At 46.0% G+C, this 21,754-nt stretch overlaps 1 protein-coding gene and 1 pseudogene across 7 annotated transcripts in view, besides 1 other annotated feature; both read right to left on the bottom strand.

Moving 5' to 3' along the window:
* On the bottom strand, positions 383-1,211 carry RPL27AP (ribosomal protein L27a pseudogene; annotated as a pseudogene).
* Positions 6,416-21,754, bottom strand: part of IFT52 (intraflagellar transport 52) — a 56,363-nt gene continuing 41,024 nt past the window's right edge. For 6 of the 7 annotated variants that reach the window (NM_001323578.2, NM_001323579.2, NM_016004.5 and 3 more), the window contains 4 exons: positions 17,702-17,789; positions 16,462-16,570; positions 11,091-11,236; positions 6,416-6,779 (listed from right to left, as the gene is read on the bottom strand). In NM_001323578.2, the coding sequence (NP_001310507.1) occupies positions 6,732-6,779; positions 11,091-11,236; positions 16,462-16,570; positions 17,702-17,789 (391 nt within the window). In that variant the 3' untranslated portion in view covers positions 6,416-6,731. The remainder of the gene's footprint in view (positions 6,780-11,090; positions 11,237-16,461; positions 16,571-17,701; positions 17,790-21,754) is intronic. The other variant, NM_001303459.3, reaches the window with a different exon arrangement.
* Positions 15,599-15,812: a silencer, noted in NCBI's record as "fragment chr20:42266543-42266756 (GRCh37/hg19 assembly coordinates)". NCBI's record gives its function as "represses an EF-1alpha promoter that drives an FKBP-Casp9 reporter gene in an ReSE screen in K562 erythroleukemia cells {active_cell/tissue: K562}" and the evidence as "EXISTENCE:reporter gene assay evidence [ECO:0000049][PMID:32094911]".

Raw genomic sequence — 21,754 nt, 5'->3', positions numbered from 1 at the left:
GCTGGGATTACAGGCATGAGCCACTATGCCCAGCTCCCCACAGCCCAAAAATATATATATATAATTTTAAAAATTTATATTTATTTTTTGAGACGGAGTTTTCACTCTTGTTGCCCAGGCTGGAGTGCAATGGCGCGATCTCGGCTCACCACAACCTCCACCTCCCGGGTCCAAGCGATTCTCCTGCCTCAGCCTCCCGAGTAGCTGGGATTACAGGCATGCGCCATCACACCTGGCTTTTTGTATTTTTAGTAGAGACGGGGTTTCACCATGTTGGTCAGGTTGGTCTTGAACTCCCAACCAGGTGATCCACCCACCTCGGCCTCCCAAAGTGCTGGGATTACAGGCGTGAGCCACTGCACCTGGCCTATTTGTTTTTTTTAAGTAGTTAGCATTTAATGAACCTCCCTCCATGTGGCCTCAAGCCACCAGGACACAGGTCCCCTTGACACCCTTAATCTTCTCAGCTCTTCTGCTGAAGAATTTGGCCTTCACAATGACAGGCTGCTTTGGGAGCTTTTCCTTTCCCAGAACTTTGTAGTAGCCCGATTGCACCACATCAATGAGGGGAGCAGCCCCAGGCTTGTTTTTAGCAGCATTCACCTGTGTCTGCTCACTGACCAAAGTCCACAATTTGTCAAGGCTGACAGCTGGGCAGAAACTCTGGTTTCTCTTTTTTTTTTTTTTTTTTTTTTTTTTTTTTGAGACGGAGTCTCGCTCTGTCACCCAGGCCGGACTGCGGACTGCAGTGGCGCAATCTCGGCTCACTGCAAGCTCCGCTTCCCGGGTTCACGCCATTCTCCTGCCTCAGCCTCCCGAGTAGCTGGGACTACAGGCGCCCGCCACCGTGCCCGGCTAATTTTTTGTATTTTTAGTAGAGACGGGGTTTCACCTTGTTGGCCAGGATGGTCTCGATCTCCTGACCTCATGATCCACCCGCCTCGGCCTCCCAAAGTGCTGGGATTACAGGTGTGAGCCACCGCGCCCGGCCACTCTGGTTTCTCTTTAAGTAATACCTCATACCAACTTTCCCAAAGTAACCTGGGTAGTATTTGTTGAAGTTGATCCTGTGGTGATGCATTCCACCAGCATTACTGTGGCCTCTGGGGTGCTTTTGGAGCTTGCCTATGCGGCCATGGCCATGGCTCACATGGCCCCGAAGTTTCTGGGTCTTCCTCAGTCTGGATGGCATTTTGGCGGCTCAGACGAAAGACTCTCTCTCTCTCTCTCTCTCTCTCTCTATATATATATATATATATATATATTTTTTTTTTTTTTTTCTTTTCTTTGAGACGAGTCTCACTCTGTCGCCCAGGCTGGAGTGCAGTGGCCCGATCTCCGCTCACTGCAAGCTCCGCCTCCTGGGTTCACGCCATTCTCCTGCCTCAGCCTCCCAAGTAGCTGGGACTACAGGCGCCTGCCACCATGCCCGGCTAATTTTTTTGTATTTTTTAGTAGAGATGGGGTTTCACCGTGTTAGCCAGGATGGTCTCGATTTCCTGACCTCGTGATCTGCCCCCCTCAGCCTCCCACAGTGCTGGGATTACGGGCATGAGCCACTGCGCCCAGCCACTCAATGTATTTTAAAATACATTTTTTAAAATTAGCTGGGTATGGTAGCATACACCTGTAGTCCCAGTTACTCGGAAAGCTGAAGCAGGAGGATTGCTTGAGCCCAGGAGGTTGAGGTTACAGTGAGCTATGATCACACCAGTGCACTTCAGCCTGGGCAACAGAGCAAGACCCTGTCTCAAAAAAATCAAAAACAAGGCTGGGCGCAGTGGCTCACGCCTGTAATCACAGCGCTTTGGGAGGCCGAGGCGGGTGGATCACTTGAGGTCAGGAGTTTGAGACCAGCCTGGTCAACATGGTGAAACCTTGTCTCTACTAAAAATACAAAAAATTAGCCAGGCGTGTTGGCACGTGCCTGTAATCCCAGCTATTGGGGAGGCTGAGGCAGGAGAATCACTTGAACCTGGGAGGCAGAGGGTGCAGTGAGCTGAGATTGTGTCACTGCACTCCAGCCTGGGAGACAGAATGAGACCCTGTCTCAAAAAACAAAACAAAACAAAAAAACAAAAATAAAAATAAAAACAAATATAACAAAATGGCAGTGAGGGCACACCTTCCTTCCCATTTTATTATATTCATGGATTCTGGGAGTCAGGAATTCACAAAGAACACAGCAGGGATGGCTTGTCTCTGCTCTATGACATCTGGGACCTCAATTGGGATGACAAAAGGCTGAGGTGCTTGATGGTTGGGGCCAGGAGTCATTTGGAGGTATCATCATTCATGTTTGGCAAGCGATTTATACCAAGATGCTGGTATAGACTGAGATCTCTGGCTGTTGGCCAGAACACCTATACATGGCCTATCCACGTGGCCTTGGACTTCTTACATGGAGGCTTGTGTTCTAAAGGTGAATGTCCCAAGATAACCAGGCAGAAGCTGTATAGCCTTTTATGAACTAGCCTCAGAGGTCACCAGCATCACTTCTGCCACGGTGCCAGATTCAAAGATTCAGAGGAGGGAACAGAGACCCCACCTCTCAATGGGAGGAGCATCAAGCCCACAGGATAAGAGAAGAGCATTTGGGTTGGGAGACAATCATTGAACACATTTTGGGTATGTATTTGGAACACACTGCCACAGCACTCCCCAGGCCTGTCCTCTAGCTGCTTATCTCCCAGCTTTGAGCTAGAGCCCCCAAATTCTTCTGCCCCTGGAGTGGCTTCCCCGTTCCCCAGTGCCCTGCCCTGGCTGGCAACTCTGAATAAGCCGTGTACTAGGGCTTGAGTATGGGAGAGAATGGAAGCCTATGAACAGAGCTTTACCATGAAGAAATCATTTGAAACTCAGGATTTGACTTGAGCTGTTCTTCCCAAGCTTTTAAATTTCTAACACTACTCTTTGACAAATGATTCTCATGACTTTAATTAACCACTCCATATGAACAACTCCACTCTTGAGACTGGACATCTTTTCTAAGCCTAAATTAGGGATTTCCAGCCATTTACTAGTTATTTCCACCTGTATTAATTGCCATAGTCTCAACTGGACTCTTATGCTCCAAAACCACTCATCCTTCAGACTCCCCATCTTTTTTTTTTTAATAGAGTTTCCCTCGTTACCCAGGCTGGAGTGCAATGGCATGATCTCGACTCACTGCTACCTCCACTTCCCGGGTTCAAGCAATTTTCCCACCTCAGTCTCCTGAGTAGCTGGGATTACAGGCGCCCGCCACGCCAGGCTAATTTTTGTATTTTTAGTAGAGACGGGGTTTCACCATGTTGGCCAGGCTGGTCTAGAACTCTTGATCTCAGGTGATCTGCCCGTCTCGGCCTCCCAAATTGCTGGGATTACAGGCATGAGCCACCGTGCCTGGCCTAGACTCCCCATCTTTTAATAGCTGCCCCCACTGTCCCAGGAAATCAAGCCCCAAATCTTGCCAATCTAACTTTCAACACCCAGACCAAAGTGTTTCAAAATGCCACCTTTCCTATAATACCACCTTAGTCCACATCCTTATTATTTGCTCTTGGGGTTGTATCAAACTCTTCTGTAAATGACCATCCTTCTACCATTCCCATCTTTATAGAACCCACCAGCTAAACTATTCCCATTGTGCAGCAATGGGAATTGCTCCTCCCCTCCCCCCTCCCCCCTTTCCTCCCACCTCCCCTCCCCTCCCCTCCTCTCCTCTCCTCTCCCTTCTCTCCTCTCCTATCCTCAGTGGCTCTGCAACCTTCCATCTGGCTTTCAGAGTTCCCCAAAGCTGGTTATCTGTGTATGTCAGTACACTGCTGTGCATTTCTATACACCAACTGCACCATTCTGACAGGTGCAGTCTCTCCCATTGTCCCATGACAATACCCTCTAGCCTCCTTGGAACAGATGATTAAATTTGGCCCTACATTATAACCCAAGATGATGATAGAACTGAGTGCTTCAGGAAGCCAGAGGACAGGGAAGAAGCATGGGTGGCCCATTCTGGAGTGCAGTGGTATGATCATAGCTAGTGCAGCTTTGAACTCCTGGGCTCAAGCAATCCTGCCACCTCAGTCTCCCAAATACCTGGGACTACAGGTGTGTGCCACTATACCTGGCTAATTTTCATTTTTGTAGAGATGGACTTTCACTTTTGTTCCCCAGGCTCAGCTTCTAAATCAGGAGTATCTAATCTTTTGGCTTCCCTGGGCAACATTGGAAGAATTGTCTTGGGTCACACAAAATACACTAACAATGGCTGATGAGCTAAAAAAATAATAATAATGGCCGGGTGCAGTGGCTCACACCTGTAATCCCAGCACTTTGGGAGGCCGAGGCTGGTGGATCATGAGGTCAGGAGATCGAGACCATCCTGCCTAACACAGTGAAACCTCGTCTCTATTAAAAATACAAAAAATTAGCCAGGCATGGTGGTGGGTGCCTGTAGTCCCAGCTACTTGGGAGGCTGAGGCAGGAGAATGGCATGAACCTGGGAGGTGGAGTTTGCAGTGAGCCAAGATAGCGCCACTGCACTCCAGCCTGGGCAAAAGGGCGAGACTCCTTCTTAAAAAAAATAAAAAAAATAAAAATAAAAATAATAATAAACACATCTATCTCTTAATTTTTTTTTTTTTTTTTGACAGTCTTGCTCTGTCACCCAGGCTGGAGTGCAGTTATGTGATCTTGGCTCACTGCAACTTCTGCCTCCCAGGTTCAATGATTTTCCCCACCTCAGCCTCCCAAGTAGCTGGGACTACAGCTATGAGCCACTATGCCTGACCATGTCTGGCTAATTTTTTTTTTTTTTTTGAGACAGTCTTGCTCTGTTGCCCAGGCTGGAGTGCAGTGGTACAACCTCAGCTCACCACAACCTCTGCCTCTGGGGTTCAAGCGACTGTCCTGCCCCAGCCTCCTGAGAAGCTGGGATTATAGGCCTGCACCACCACACCCGGGTAATTTTTGTATTTTTAGGAGAGACAGGTTTTCGCCATGTTGGCCAGGCTTGTCTTGAACTCCTGACTTCAAGTGATCCATCCACCTCGGCCTCCCAAAGAACTGGGATTACAGGCATGAGCCACCGTACCAGGCCTCTACACCTGGCTAATTTTTGTATTTTTTGTAGGGACAGGGTTTCATCCTGTTGGCCAGGTTGGTCTCTATCTCCTGGCCTCAGGTGATCCACCCACCTTGGCCTCCCAAAGTGTTGGGATTACAAGCATGAGCCACTGCACCTGGCCTCATAATGTTTTAAGAGTTTACAAATTTGTAGGCCGGGCGCGGTGGCTCACGCTTGTAATCCCAGCACTTTGGGAGGCTGAGGCGGGCGGATCATGAGGTCAGGAGATCGAGACCACGGTGAAACCCCATCTCTACTAAAAATACTAAAAATTAGCCGGGCGTGGTGGCGGGCGCCTGTAGTCCCAGCTACTCGGAGAGGCTGAGGCAGGAGAATGGTGTGAACCCAGGAGGCAGAGCTTGCAGTGAGCCGAGATCGCGCCACTGCACTCCAGCGTGGGTGACAGAGCGAGACTCCGTCTCCAAAAAAAAAAAAAAAGTTTACAAATTTGTTTTAGGCCACATTCAAAGCCGTCCTAAGCCACATGCAGCCCATGGGCTGCGGGTTGGACAAGCTTGCTCTACATGGTTGTGTCCTATGGGCAACTGGGAGATGAAGGGATGAGATCTATATAAGGAAGGTATCTGTCTACTCTTTTATCTTCTTCTTTAGGTACAGTGGGGTAAACAGACTATGGGTTAAGTTCTGTATCCTTTTTTTTTTTTTTTTTTGAGACAAGAGTCTTGCTCTGACACCCAGACTGGTATGTGGTGGTGTGATCTCAGTTTACTGCAACCTCCGCCTCCCGGGTTCAAGTGATTCTCCTGCCTCACCCTCCCGAGTAGCTGGAACTACAGGTGTGTGCCACCATGCCCGGCTAATTTTTTGTACTTTTAGTAGAGATGGGGTTTCACCATGTTAGCCAGGATGGTCTCGATCTCCTGCCCTCGTGATCCACCCAACTCGGTCTCCCAAAGTGCTGGGATTACAGGCATGAGCCACTGCACCTAGCCTCCCATCCCCCCCTTTTTTTTTTGAGACAGAGTCTCACTGTCACCCAGGCGGGAGTGTAGTGGCGTGATCTCGGCTCACTGCAACCTCTGCCTCCCAGATTCAAGTGATTCTCCTGTCTCAGCCTCCCAAGTAGCTGGGATTACAGGCACATGCCACCACACCTGGCTAACTTTTGTATTTTTAGTAGAGACAGGTTTCACCATGTTGGCCAGGCTGGTCTTGAACTCCTGACCTCAAATGATCCGCCCGCCTCGGCCTCCCAAAGTGCTGGGATTACATGAGTGAGCCACCGTGTCCAGCCACTGTTGTATCCTTTCAACCGGTCCAGAAAGCTGTACAGTATTTACAACAAGCTTGAGAGTTAATTATGTCTTTGATAAAAGACTCAAATCCAGAACTGGGGTTGAGAAAAAAAAATCAAGACTGTTTCATAGGGTATAAAAAGACAGATGCAACCATACATTTAATTTTTAAAAATGGAATGTATCTTACATAAGGATTTTGTGAAAAATCTTATACCTATCTGAGTATTACAGAAGATGCATATACCTTCCAGAGCTCATGGAGGAAAGAGTGTATAAACAATTTTGATAAGGAGTTGAAAAACAATTTGAAAATAGTTTACAAAGAGAGAATCAGGAGGCAGAAAAAGCTTCAAGAGGCATGGTCTTCAGAAATTGTTCTGGAATGCTGTTTCACTTGTATCGATGTCATGTTCCTGGATGAGAGAATAAGACACAGAATTTTAGTATTTCAGTATAAAGCCTGAAATGTAAACTCTTCAGTGCTTTGGACTTTAGAGATTCTGAATCTTTATTAATTAGGACATATACATAATATCTGGCTTTAGGGCTGAATCCAACCCAAGGATCAAATTTTGATCCTTTTGCCCTACCATGGCAGGGCTTGTGACCACTGCCCACCACCCACCATGATGAGTAACAAACAGAGTTGAAAGCACTGGTGCAAAGACCACACCAGACTTCTTATATTGGCCTCGGGTGTCTGTCCTAGCATGCCACCAGAGTGAGTACTGCTGGGAACCTACCTGACCTCCCATCCCATCATTCACTGCTGAGCAGCCACATCAAAACCCTCATCTCTGGGTTCCCTTCATGGATGGCACTTAGACCACGGTAACTGCCAATACACTTCTGTCTCCCACTACACAGAGCTCTGAGAGGCACAGCAAGAACCGCAATCATCTTGTTCACTGCTATGGCCCCAGCCTCCAGCACCATGCTAGACGTGGAGAGTAAAACACTGCCAAATGAGCATCCGGCACAGCCAGCTTCCTTCCAGGAGAGGCTCAGAACCTAATTGGTCTTTCCACTCAGCATCTGAAATCCTAAGCTTGAATTTTGCCTGCTTACATTAAACAACAAAACACTCTTTTTTTGCTGCAAAAGTGACACAGTCACTATAGAATTTTTTTTTTTTTTTTGAGACGAGTCTCGCTCTGTCACCCAGGCTGGAGTGCAGTGGCGTGATCTCGGCTCACTGCAAGCTCTGCCTCCCAGGTTCATGCCATTCTCCTGCCCCAGCCTCCCGAGTAGCTGGGACTACAGGTGCCCGCCACCACGCGCGGCTAATTTTTTTTTGTATTTGTAGTGGAGACGGGGTTTCACATGTTAGCCAGGATGGTCTCGATCTCCTGACCTCATGATCCTCCTGCCTCGGCCTCCCAAAGTGCTGGGATTACAGGCGTGAGCCACCGCGCCCGGCCCACTATAGAAATTTTAATAAAGAAGGAAAATAAAAATTAAACACTATCTTTTTTTTTTTTTTTTAAACAGGGTCTCACTCTATCACCCTGGATGGAGTGCAGTGGCATGATCACTGCTCACTGCAACCTCAACCTCCCCAGGCTCAGATGATCCTCCCACCTCAGCCTCCCAAGTAGCTGGGACTACAGGTGCACACCACCACACCTGGCTAATTTTTGTATTTTTTTATGGATGTGGAGTTTCTGTTGCCCAGGCTGGACTAGAACTCCTGGGCTTAAATGATTCACCTACCTTGGCCCCCCAAAGTGCTGGGATTGCAAGCGTGAGCCACTGTGCCCAGCCCAAGGATAAATATCTTCTTTTTTTGGGGGGGACAGAGTCTTACTCTGTCACCCAGGCTGGAGTGCAGTGGCATGATCTCAGCTCACTGCAAGCTCTGCCTCCCGGGTTCACACCATTCTCCTGCCTCAGCCTCCTGAGTAGCTGGGACTATGGGCACCCGCCAACACGGCCGGCTAATTTTTTGTATTTTTAGTAGAGACGGGGTTTCACTGTGTTAGCCAGTATGGTCTCGATCTCCTGACCTCGTGATCCACCTGCCTTGGCCTCCCAAAGTGCTGGGATTAATTACAGGCGTGAGCCACCGCACTGGGCCCCAAGGATAAATATCTTTATGTTATTTTTTTATTATGCAAAATAATTCTATGTGTGTATTGTATTCTGTAAAGAAAGTAGAATCTCTCTATATACTGTTCTTTAGTCTCTCCCCACCACATATTTACTGTATCACGAATGTATTCCCAAGTCCTTAAACTTTTTTTTTTTTGAGTCTTACTCTGTTGCCCAGGTTGGAGTACAGTGGTGCAATCTTGGCTCACTGCAACCTCCGCCTCCCAGGTTCAAGCGAATCTCTTGCCTCAGCCTCCTGAGTAACTGGGACTACAGGCACGGGCCACCACACCCAGCTGATTTTTTTATTTTTAGTAGAGATGGGGTTTCACCATGTTGGCCAGGCTGGTCTCGAATTCCTGACCTCAAGTGATCCGCCCACCTCAGCCTCCCAAAGTGTTGGGATTACAGATGTGAGCCACAGCGCCTGGCCCAAGTCCTTAAACATTTTTATTTTTATTTTTTATTTATTTTTTTGAGATAGAGTCTCACTCTGTCTCCCAGGCTGGAGTGCAATGGCACGTTCTTGGCTCACTGCCAACCTCTGTCTCCCGGGTTCAAGCAATTCTCCTGCCTCAGCCTCCTGAGTAGCAGGGACTACAGGTGCACGCCACCACACCTGGCTAATTTTTGTATTTTTAGTAGAGAGGAGGGTTCACCATGTTGGTCAGGCTAGTCTTGAACTCCTGACCTCGTGATCCACCCGCCTCAGCCTCCCAAAGTGCTGGGATTACAGGCGTGAGCCACCATTCCTGGCCAAACATTTTTAAAAACATTTTTTATCTTATGGATGTACCCTAGGATACTTAACCAGTTCCCTATTGATGAAGATTTTTCTTCTATAAAATAATGTGGCACTGAGAATCCTGGTTGATAAATCTGTACGTATTCCGAATTATATTATTAAAACAAATTCTGAAGATTAGAATGGGTCAACGGTATATACATTTTAGGGCTTTTCAACAGTATTATAAAAATATCTCCAGACAAGTGGAACCAACTTATTCTCCATCAGTAGTGTATGAATGCCTATTTACCAAAGCTGGTTGGGCATTCAATTTTTGAAATCCTTGGAAAAAAGAAGGCCAGGGATAATTTTGAAGTTCTTGGTCCTCAGTCAGAGAAAGATGATTTCTTTTTCTTTTTTTTTTGAGACAGAGTCTTGCTCTGTCGCCAGGCTGGATGGACTGCAGTGGTGTGGTCTTGGCTTACTGTAACCTCCGCCTCCCAGGTTCAAGCAATTCTCCTGTCTCAGCCTCCCGAGTATGGGAGCTGGGACTACAGGCATGCACCACCACGCCCAGCTAATTTTTGTATTTTTAGTAGAGATGGGGTTTCACCATGTTGGCCAGGATGGTCTCAATCTCTTGACTTTGTGATCTGCCCGCCTTGGGCTCCCAATTGCTGGGATTACAGGTGTGGGCCACGGTGCCCGGCCTGAGAAAATCATTTCTTACATAAGGTGATCACCTCATGTTCTACTGCTCTGTCCTTTCCTCTGTTCTCTTGTCACACTGGCATCACTGCCGTTCGTCAAGCATACCAGGCACAGCCCAGCCTTAGGAACTTTGCACACATCTCCCCTCTGCCTGGGACACTCCTCCCCCAGATATCTGCATGGCTAAGTCTCTCAACACCTTCAAATCTTTGCTCCAATACAACTTTGCAATGAAACCCACCCTGATCTCCCTATTTAATACTCACCAGTCATCATGGCCACACTCAGCACACTTGATCCCTCTTACCCAGCTCTATTTTTTTGTTTTTTTTTTGAGACAGAGTCTCACTCTCTTACCCAGGCTGGAGTACAGTGGTGCCATCTTGGCTCACTGCAACCTCCGCCTCCTGGGTTCAAGAGATTCCCCTGCCTCGGCCTCCCTAGTAGCTGGGATTACAGGCGTGCACCACCACACCTGGTTAATTTTTATATTTTTAGTAGAGATGGAGTTTCACCATGTTCGCCAGGCTGGTCTCAAACTCCTGACCTCAGCTGAACCACCTGCCTCGGCCTCCCAAAGTGCTGGGATTACAGGTGTGAGCCACCACACCCAGCTGTTTTTTTTTTGTTTTGTTTTGTTTTTTTGTTTTTTTTTGAGACAGAGTCTCACTGTTGCCCAGGCTGGAGTGCAACGGCACGATCTCAGCTCACCACAACCTCTGCCTTCTGGGTTCAAGTGATTCATCTGCCTCAGCCTCCTGAGTGGCTGGGATTACAGGCACGCACCATGATGCCCGGCTAATTTTTGTATTTTTAGTGGAGAGGGGGTTTCACCATGTTGGTCAGGCTGGTCTCGAACTCCTGACCTCGGGTGATCTGCCTACCTCAGCCTCCCAAAGTGTTGGGATTACAGGCGTGAGCCACTGCGCCCAGCCTCCACTTCTTTTATACCAAAGCACTTACCATTTTCTAGCATCCTATGTGACTCACTTATGTTTACTGCTTATTGTCTACATCCTCCAGCTAGTATATAGGTTCCATAAGTACAGGGTTTATTGTCTGTTTTGTTCACCTAGTAGATGCTTAATAAATATTTACAGGCTGAATCAACGTCATAAAACATGGCAAGCACAGTCCATGGAAGATACCAGTACTGGAGGGGCTCCCACTACACTGTGCCTTGTAGGCTCTGTACCTGGTTCAATTTCTTGAACTCCACCACTTGGAAGAAGACGTGCTCAAGGATATGTTTGGCATCCTGTTGGTCCTTTGGTAGTTTACTGGTTACTCCAAGAATATCACCACACTTCCTGACATAAAATTCCAGGTCTTCTTCAGTACCTAAGACAGTTGGAGTAGTAGTTAGATTAATTCTTAACTTCTGCCCTTCCCAAAGTACAGACTTAGTGTGTTTCAGGTATGCCCTGTCATGTTTCCACATTTCCTAAGATCACTCACCTCTTCCTAAAGTAATGTGACTACAGGATTTCAACACTGAAAAACCCTAGAGCTCTCTAATGTGCTGCTTTTATAATAAAAGCACTCCTAATCAGAATAAAACTGGACTGGTACTGGCTTTCCTATTCCTCAGATCTAGTATTCCTACATTAGAAAGAACAGGTGCAACAGTAGGAAATCAAATTATCATTCCCTGAATGCAACAAAGATGACTATAGAGAAGCATATGGGTAATTAAAAATAGCATTTACTAAAACAATATTGTATTGGCTGGGCGTGGTGGCTCATGCCTGTAATCCCAGCAATTTGGAAGGCTGAAGCAGGTAGATCACTTGAGGTCAGGTGTTCAAGATCAGCCTGGCCAACATGGCAAAACCCCATCTCTACTAAAAATACAAAAATTAGCCAGATGTGGTGATGCAGGCCTGTAATCCCAGCTACTCGGGAGGCTGAGGCAGGAGAATCACCTCAACTGGGGAGATGGAGGTTGCAGTGAACAGAGATTGCGCCACTGCACTCCACCCCGGGCAACAGAACAGACTCCATCTCAAACAAAACAAAACAAAACAGCCGAGCGTGAAGGCTCACGCCTGTAATCCCAGCACTTTGGGAGGCCAAGGTGAGCGGATCACGAGGTCAGGAGTTCGAGACCAGCCTGGCCAGCATGGTGAAACCCTGTCTCTACTAAAAATACAAAAAAATTAGCCGGGCATGGTGGTGCGCACCTGTAATCCCAGCTACTCGGGAGGCTGAGGTAGGAGAATTGCTTAACCCTGGGAGGCGGAGGTTGCAGTGAGCTGAGATCACGCCATTGCACTCCAGCCTGGGGGACGTGGTGGCTCACATCTGTAATCCCAGCACTTTGGGAGGCTGAGGCAGGTGGATCATCTGAGGCCGGGAGTTCGAGACCAGCCTGACCAACATGGAGAAACCCTATCTCTACTAAAAATACAAAATTAGCCGGGCGTGGTGGTGCATGCCTATAATCCCAGCTACTCAGGAAGGCTGAGGCAGGAGAATCGCTTGAACCCGGGAGGCAGAGGTTGCAGTGAGCTGAGGCTGTGGTGAGCCAAGATCGTGCCACTGCACTCCAGCCTGGGCAACAAGAGCAAAATTAGGTCTCAAAACAAAACAAAACAAAACAAAACCCCAAAAAACAAACAATATTATAGAAAGAAAATTAAAGAAAAAAATCACCCATAATTCCACCAACAACATAGCTCTGTGAAGCCATCCTCTGGAGCCCTACATGTAGGATAGACAGCCATTACTGCCCTTCTCACATTATACTGTAATTTCTTTCTTCCTTTTTTTTTTTTTTTTTTTTTTTTGAGACAAGGTTTGGCTCTATCACCCAGGCTGGAGTGCAGTGGCATGATTTCAGCTCACTGCAACTTCTGCCTCCTGGGCTCAAACCATCCTCCCACCTCAGCCTCCCAAGTAGCTTGGACTACAGGTGTGTACCACCACGCCTGGCTGATTTTTTGTATTTGAGACGGGGTTTCACCATGTCGCCCAAGCTGGTCTCGAACTCGTGAGCTCCAGCAATCCACCTGCTTTGGCCTCCCAAAGTGCTGGGCTTATAGGCATGAGCCACTGAGCCCAGCTGTAATTAATTTATTCTCCCTCTGATTTGCATTTTAAGTTTTGATAGAAATGTATGTTTTTTACTAAGACATTCAAACCCACAGCTGTATCAATGTTTCATCCTAGTTCTACTGCCACCAACTACCTAGAATTATTATTGCTATGTATGCTTCTGTGTGTAAATGTAAGTTTTCACAAAAATGGGATCAAACTAGAATAGTTTTCTAAGTTGACTTCATCATTTAATGATGTATTATGGACATTCCGAATCAAAGTTTATGCCCTGCATTTTTTTTATTTTCTTTTTTGTTTTTTCAGATGGAGTCCCACTCTGTCACCCAGACTGGAGTACAGTGGCGTGATCTTGGCTTACTGCAACCTCCACCTCCCGAATTCAAGCAATTCTCCTGCCTCAGCCTCCCAAGCAGCTGGGATTACAGGCACCTGCCACCATGCCTGGCTAATTTTTTATTTTTATTTTTAGTAGAGACAGGGTTTTACCATCTTGGCCAGGCTGGTCTCAAACTCCTGACCTTGTGATCCACCTGCCTCGGCCTCCCAAAGTGCTGGGATTACAGGCATGAGCCACTGCGCCTGGCCTTTTCTTTTCTGAGACAGGGTCTCGCTCTGTCAACCAGGTTAGAGGACAGTGGCACAATCTTAGCTCACTGCAGCCTTGACTTCCTAGGCTCAAGCAATCCTCCCACCTGGGCCTCCTGAGTAGCTGGTACTACAGGAGTGAGCCACCATGCCCGGCTAATTTTGTTTATTCTTCTATAGAGAAGAGGTCTCACAGTGTTGCCCAGGCTGGTCTCAAGTGATCCTCTTGCCTCAGCCTCCTAAAGTGCTGGGATTATAGGTGTGAGCCATCGCACCCAGGCTACATTTTTCTTTTAACAGGTATGTAATATTCTATTTTGTTTCTATTTATTTATTTTTCAGAAACAGGGTCCTTTGTCACCCAGGCTGGAGTGCAAGGTGTATCATAGCTCACTGCAGCCTCCAACTCTTGGGCCCAAGTGATCCTCCCACCTCAGCCTTCCAAGTAGCTAGGAATATAGAAATGCGTCACCGCACCTGGCTACTTAAAAAAATTTTTTTTTTTAGATGGAGTTTCGCTCTTGTTGCCCAGGCTGGAGTGCAATGACACGATCTCGGCTCACCGCAACTTCCAACTCCTGGGTTCAAGCGATTCTCCTGCCTCAGCCTCCCCAGTAGCTGGGATTACAGGCATGCGCCACCACACCCAGCTAATTTTGTATTTTTAGTAGAGAAGGGGTTTCTCCATGTTGGTCAGGCTGGTCTTGAACTCCCAACCTCAGGTGATCTGCCCACCTTGGCCTCCCAATGTGCCGGGATTACAGGCGTGAGCCACTGCACCCAGCCTTTTTTTTTGTTTTTTTGAGACAAGGTCTCATTATGTTGTCCAAGCTGGTCTTGAAATCCCAGCCTCAACTGATCCTCCTGCCTTGGCTTTTTGAAGTGTTCAGATTATAGGCATGATCCACCGTGCTCAGGCAATTTTTTTTTTTTTTTTTGTAGAGATGGGGTCTATGTGACCCAGGCTTATTTCATACTCTTTTTAACCAATCCCCCTAATGATGGATGGACCATTAGACTGTTTCCAATTTTTTGAATGCTATAATTAATATCTATATCTTTTTTGTCTTGCATTTCTACAAGGATTTCCATAGGACAGTTGCTAGAAACAGAAATGCCAAGTCAAAGCTGCTTCTTCACCGTTCTGTGATTCCTCCTGGACTCATCACTATGTCCTGCTCATTTTTGACTGCCCAGGACCCACAGCAATGCCTGCCACAGAAGAGAGATGCAGTAAAGGTCTTCGTTTACACTGAACTGTTTCCATTTTGCTTACTTCTTTCTGGGCTTTGGGCACATACAGATGTTACTGACATAGCTGGTATCCTCTTGTACATGCAGTTTTATATCTTGCTTTCTTCATTCAGGATTCTCTCTTAAATTCTGTCTGTGTCATATGTGTCATTCCCTAGCCTTTGTGAACCTCTTTTATAATGACTACATATTCTCCTACCAAATGAATGTGACGCATTTTAAGACCATTACTCTGCTAGTGGACATTAAAGCTATTCCCAAATTTATAGTTTTTTTCTATTTTTAAAAATTGTTATTTTTTTAAAATATATTTTTAGAGACAGGGTCTTGCTATGTTGCCCAGACTGGTCTTAAATTCCTAAGTTCAAGCGATCCTCCTACCTCAGCCTCCCGAGTTTATTGTATTTTAAAAATAAATAGTGTAGAAGTTGGCCGGACGTGGTGGCTCATGCCTGTAATCCCAGCACTTTGGGAGGCTGAGGCGGGTGGATCACCTGAGGTCTGGAGTTTTAGACCAGCTTGGCCAACATGGTAAAACCCCATCTCTACTAAAAACACAAAAATTAGCCATGCGTGGCGGTGGGCAACTGTAATCCCAGCTACTTGGGAGGCTGAGGCAGGAGAATCGCTTGAACTCAGGAGGCGGAGGTTACCTCGAGCTGAGATAGCACTATTGCACCCAAGGCTGGGCGACAAGAGTGAAACTTTGTCTCAAAAAAAAAAAAAATATAATCTCCTTAGATTAGAGTTCCAGGAGTGGGGTCACTGCCTCAAAGTGGATGGTTAATTTTATGCCTCTGAGCATATATGTGCAGACCCATTTGCTGTGTTGGAGGCAATTCATGTCAGGAGCAGCCCCAGACCAAAAGTCAGGAGGACCACTCACCGTGGAGCTGTGTGGCCTGGGGCCTCATTTCTTCATCCACATGTCAAGGTGGGCACACTTGGCTCTCTCTCAGATCCTGTCCAATTTGAAGTCTCTATCATTCTTTGGGCCTTACTCAATTTCCTTATTTAGCTGCTCCTATGACCACTGACTGAGATTTGCTAAGTGGCAGCCAGGGTCAAGATTAATTCTATGGTCTCTCAATAGGTCAGAACTAAGGACTCACAGGGATCAAAGCTGAGACCTTTGGCTTTCTGCTTGGCACTATGTTCTAATTCACTGAACTAAATAGCCTCGAGAAGAACAACCAACATTATTTACATGACATAAATAAGAATGGTAAGTTTATACTCCTATTCATATTTTGTTTTCCCTAAACAAACTCTAAGCAGTCTCTCATAGCAATTCTCAGAAATTCATGATTAAATAAAACTCATAAGAGAAAACAAAGTTTAAAAGTTGGCCAAACTTAGGCCAGGCATGGTGGCTCACGCCTGTAATCCCAGCACTCTGGGAGGCCGAGGCGGGCTGATCGCCTGAGGTCAGGAGTTTGAGACCAGCCTGACCAATATGATGAAACCCCGTCTCTACTAAAAATACAAAAATTAGCTGGGCGTGGTGGCGCATGCCTGTAATCCCAGCTACTCGGGAGGCTGAGACAGGAGAATCGCTTGAACCTGGGAGACAGAGGTTGCAGTGAGCCGAGATCGCACCATTGCACTCCAGCCTGGGCAACAAGAGTGAAACTCTGTCTCAAAAAAAAAAAGTTCGCCAAACTTACACTTATTGGTAATCTGAGCCAGCCGTGCCTTCTCAGAGGAGAACGTTTCATCTAAATCAAATAGCTCCAGAGGAGGAGGTGGTAACTCCCGGAAACTGGGAGGAAAAACCTAAAAGGAAATAAAGTCATTATTTAGAAATGAGGGAGGATAAGGTAAAGGAAATAAAGTCTCTCAAGAAAGAGCTTGTCCAAAATCATAACTAACAGTGATAAGACACAAGGAGAATAAGGAAGTTCACATCCTTAATTCCTCAGTTGGGAACCACACCACATGGAAACCCCTACAGAACAGTAACTCGGCTCTTCCCTGAGGATGAAATACCCAAACTCCCATCACCTCGTCTACCCTCACCCATTAGACCCATACCAAGAAAGATTATTAGCCCACTGTAAACAACCAAGTAGAACCAGCTCTAATTACCACTAAACTGACCAAGCTGACATACCAATGCTAATTAACTCAGAACGATGACACAAAGCTTGGGGCTTAGGTTTGTGTTGAACATTTGATTGTACAACTTGTTTCTCATTTAATCATAAGTTTTTAGGGATGGAAGTTATTTGGAGAACCAGATGCAGATTAGTGTAGAAAGTATTGAACCTGGAGTCACATTTTGTAGGTATGAACCAATGGTATGCGGGTAAATGTTTAACTACTTTCAAAACAAAACAAAACTGAAGGCCTGTTTTGTAGCATTTACCATTTTCTGTAATGTAAATCCTCTCACCATGGCCAATTTCAAGCTACCAAGCAAGATCAAGCTAACTGGCTCATAACATTTCAGAATGTGGTGAGACAAGGTAATTTTAAAGGCAAGTTGAATGTTGGACTGAAATGTTGAAAAATAACCTATTTACACACATGACCATAACTATCCCCTGGGCTGTGAGAATTATGTTATGAATCAGGCCCTGACACCTGGAATGGCAGTACAAAGTTTTCTTCCTTTTTATCCAAGAAATCTCATATATGCCCTCCAACCCCACAAGATGAGAATAGGAAATGTTTAATAGCCAGAAGGCTCCACATCCTTGATTCCTCAATTTGGAAGCATACCACATGGAAGTCTCTATAGAACATTAACAAATTTGGTGTCCATGCATGTTTAGAGACAGAGCACTATGACTCCACAAGGAGTGCCACAAATGGCACATGGAAGGGACCACAGCGAATGCCTGCTGACAAGATAAGGGCAACAGTGGGGCTCTGCAGTGGGATCTCCCAAGCACACCTACTCACCGCAGGCTGAAGGGTTGGCAGCGGCGTCTCAAACTGAGGCTGGATGAGCTGGAGTGGTTCATGTTTCACATTTAGCTGCTCGTGAGCCCTGTGTTCATAATCAAACAAAAAAGCAGGGATCAAGACACTATAGCTCAGCACGTCTAACTGACCACACTGTGTTGTTCTCCATGAAATACAGTGGTTCAGTACTATTTTTAGAAATACCACTGGACCCAGCAATCCCATTACTGGGTATACACCCAAAGGAATATAAATCATTCTATTATAAAGACACATGCATGCATATGTTCACTGCAGCACTATTCACAATAGCAAAGACATGGAATCAACCCAAATGCCCATCAATGATAGACTGGATAAAGAAAATGTGGTACATACCATGAATACTACGCAGCCATAAAAAAGAATGAGATTGGCTGGGCGCAGTGGCTCACCCCTATAATCTTAGCACTTTGGGAGGCCGAGGTGGGTGGATCACCTGAGGTCAAGAGTTCGAAACCAGCCTGGCCAACATAGTGAAACCTTGTCTCCACTAAAAATACAAAAATTAGCCGGGTGTGGTGGCTGGCGCCTATAATCCCAGCTACTCAGGAGGCTGAGGCTGAGGCAGGAAAATCGCTTGAACCAAAGAGGCGGAGGTTACAGTGAGCAGAGATCGTGCGATTGCACTCCAGCCTGGGCAAGAGAGCAAAAATTCTGTCTCAAAAAAAAAGAATGAGATCATGTCCTTTGCCAAGGACTTGGATGGCGCTAGAGGCCATTATCCTTAGCAAACTAATACAGGAAGAGAAAACCAAATACCACATGTCCTTTTTTTTTTTTTCTCTCTCTCTCTTTTTTTTGGAGACAGAGTCTTGCTCTGTCACCTAGTCTGGAGTGCAGTGGCGCGATCTCGGCTCACTGCAACCTCTGCCTGCCAGGTTCAAGTGATTCTCCTGCCTAAGCCTCCCAAGTAGCTGGGATTACAGGCACGCGCCACCACACCCAGCTAATTTTTGTATTTTTAGTAGAGATGGGTTTCACCATGTTGGTCAGGCTGGTCTTGAACTCCTGACCTCGTGATCCACCCGCCTCAGTCTCCCAAAGTGCTGAGATTACAGGCATGAGCCACCGCACCCAGCCTACTACATGTCCTTATAAGTGGGAGCTAAATGATGAGAGCACACAGACACATAGGGGAGAATACACACTGGGGCCTATAGAAGGTTGGAGGTTGGGAGGAGGGAGAGGATCGGGAAAAATAACTAATGGATACTAGGCTTAACACATGCGTGATGAAATAATCTGTACAACAAACCCCCATGACACAAGTTTACCTAGGTAACAAATCTGTACTTGTACCCCTGAACTTAAAAGTTAAAAAAAAAAAACACCTCATAAAATAATATCAATGTTACTTAATCAACTCTCTAAATAGAATATGCATTCTAACTTACATAGATTACATAGTTAAATCTTTTTTCATTTTAGATCAGAATATGTTAACGTATTTCAAGGGGATTTCAATGAAATATTTTAATGGAATTTAATTTCATGGAAGTTAGTCTAGTTTCTGTCTGTTTCAGATACTCATGTAGATATGCAGTGTTTCACTTTCTTTGGTGACTGGTTGAAATTCTGAATTTTTTTCTTTGATTTAGTGTAAAGGTTTGAGATTTCCCCTTCCAAAATAATAATACCTATATTAATTCCAACTTTGAAATTTGAATTTATTCTTCCCATATCACTCATATGCATCAATATGTTTAAAGTATTATGTGCTTTATCTTTTTTCTTCTTCTTCTATTTTTTTTTTTCATTTATGCACAAAAACCACAATCTAAACACTTACTTTGAGATAAATTTTGACTCTGTCACCCAGGCTGGAGTGCAGTGGTATGATCATAGCTCATTTTAATCCTGAACTCCTGGACTCTAGCTAGCAATCATCCTACCTCAGCCTCCTGAGTAGCCAGGACTACGAGCGAGTGTGCACCACCATGCCTTGCTAATTTTTAAAAAAAAATTTTAGTAGGGACAAGGGCTCACTATGTTGCCCAGGCTGGTCTCGAACCCCTGGCCTCAAGAGGTCCTCCTGTTTCAGCTTCCCAAAGTGATGGGATTACATGCATGAGCCACCGCACCCAACCTTTTCTTTTTAAATCAGTTTCTGGTATTGAGATTTGTCCAAAGATGGAAATTGATTTCCTGGGAATGAGGGTCTTCATCATTCTTTACAGCTACTTCAATCTTAAATTTTCTTTTGATTGGTATTAACTGCTCACCTAAGGCAGCCAAATTCTCTTTTATTTATTTATTTTTTTGAGACAGAGTCTCACTCTGTCGCCCAGGCTGGAGTGCAGTGGTGCAATCTCAGCTCACTGCAACCTCTGCCTCCCGGGTTCAAGCGATGCTCCTGCCTCAACCTCCCGAGTAGCTAGGACTACAAACGCGTGCCACCATGCCTAGCAAATTTTTGTATTTTTAGTAGAGATGGGGTTTCACCATGTTGGACAGGCTGGTCTCGAACTCCTGACCTCGTGATCCACCCGCCTCAGCCTTCCAAAGTGCTGGGATTACAGGTGTGAGCCACTGTGCCCAGCCCCAAATTCTGTCTTAATCATAGTGGATTACAAATAATAGTTAATACATGATTTGAAAGATAAATAATTTTGACCTTTTTTTTTTGAGACGGAGTTTCGCTCTTGTGGCCCAGGCTGGAGGACAATGGCATGATCTCGGCTCACCGCAACCTCCGCCTTCCGGGTTCAAGCAATTCTCCTGCCTCAGCCTCCCGAGTAGCTGGGATTACAGGCATGCGCCACCATGCCCGGCTAATTTTGTATTTTTAGTAGAGACGGGGGTTCTCTATGTTGGTCAGGCTGGTCTCGAACTCCCAACCTCAGGTGATCCACCCACCTCAGCCTCCCAAAGTGCTGGGATTGACAGGCGTGAGCCACCAAGCCCGGCCAATTTTGACTTTTAAAAAGTTAAAGCTATGAATACAATAAAGTCCAAATTAAAAAGAGACAAAATGTGTTGTTATAAATAATGTAATGATCCTTTCAGGAATCTTCTCTACCGTATCATACATTATTACTCATTGAGAACTGAAAAGAAACATTTCTTTCAAGTTTCATATCAGGTTTCTCCTAAATAAGCTTTTTGTTTTGCCTGATGGACACAGTGAATCTTGCAACTCCTGTGTTTTTTTTATTTCTTTTCACCATTAAGAGATAGGAGTCAAATCTGAAATCTGTTTCTGGCAAGTAAACAGATCTGTATGATATGCACTTCTGCGTGCTCACTCAACAAATAATTACTGAATATCCACTATGTACCAGGCAGTTCTACACATGAGGAGTACAGCAACAGTAAAAGAAGATGCCAAGGCAGGCCATCACGGAACTTACATTGTAGGGGGAGGGGAGGCACACACTAAACAAAAAAACTAGTAAGATGTCAGGAACTGGCCGAGTGCAGGGGCTCATGCCTGTAATCCCAGCACTTTGGGAGGCTGAGGTGGGTGGATCACCTGAGGTCAGGAGTTGGAGGCCAGCCTGGCCAACATGGTGAAACCCCGTCTCTATTAAAAATACAAAAATTAGCTGGGCGTGGTGGCGCGTGCCTGTAATCCCAGCTACTCAGGAGGATGAGGCAGGAGAATTGCTTGAACCCGGGAGGCGGAGGTTGCAGTGAACCGAGACTGCACCACTGCACTCTAGCCTGGGAGACAGAGCAAGACTCTGTCTCAGAAAAAGAAAAAAAAAAGATGTCAGGAACTGATAAATATTAAGAAGACAAATAGGCTGGGCGCAGTGGCTCACGCCTGTAATCCCAGCACTTTGGGATGCCGAGGCAGGCGGATCACCTGGGGTTGGGAGTTCAAGACCAGTCTGACTAACATGGAGAAACCCCGTCTCTACTAAAAATACAAAATTAGCCAGGTATGGTGGTGCATGCCTGTAATCCCAGCTACTCGGGAGGCTGAGGCAGGAGAATTGCTTGAACCCAGGAGGCGGAGGTTGTGGTGAGCGGAGATCGTGCCGTTGCACTCCAGCCTGGGCAACA

The sequence above is a fragment of the Homo sapiens genome, chromosome 20 (genome assembly GCF_000001405.40).
Source record: "Homo sapiens chromosome 20, GRCh38.p14 Primary Assembly".
Lineage (NCBI taxonomy): Eukaryota > Metazoa > Chordata > Mammalia > Primates > Hominidae > Homo > Homo sapiens.
Note: the sequence above shows the minus strand (reverse complement) of the source record. Positions and strands in the feature narration are given on the sequence as shown.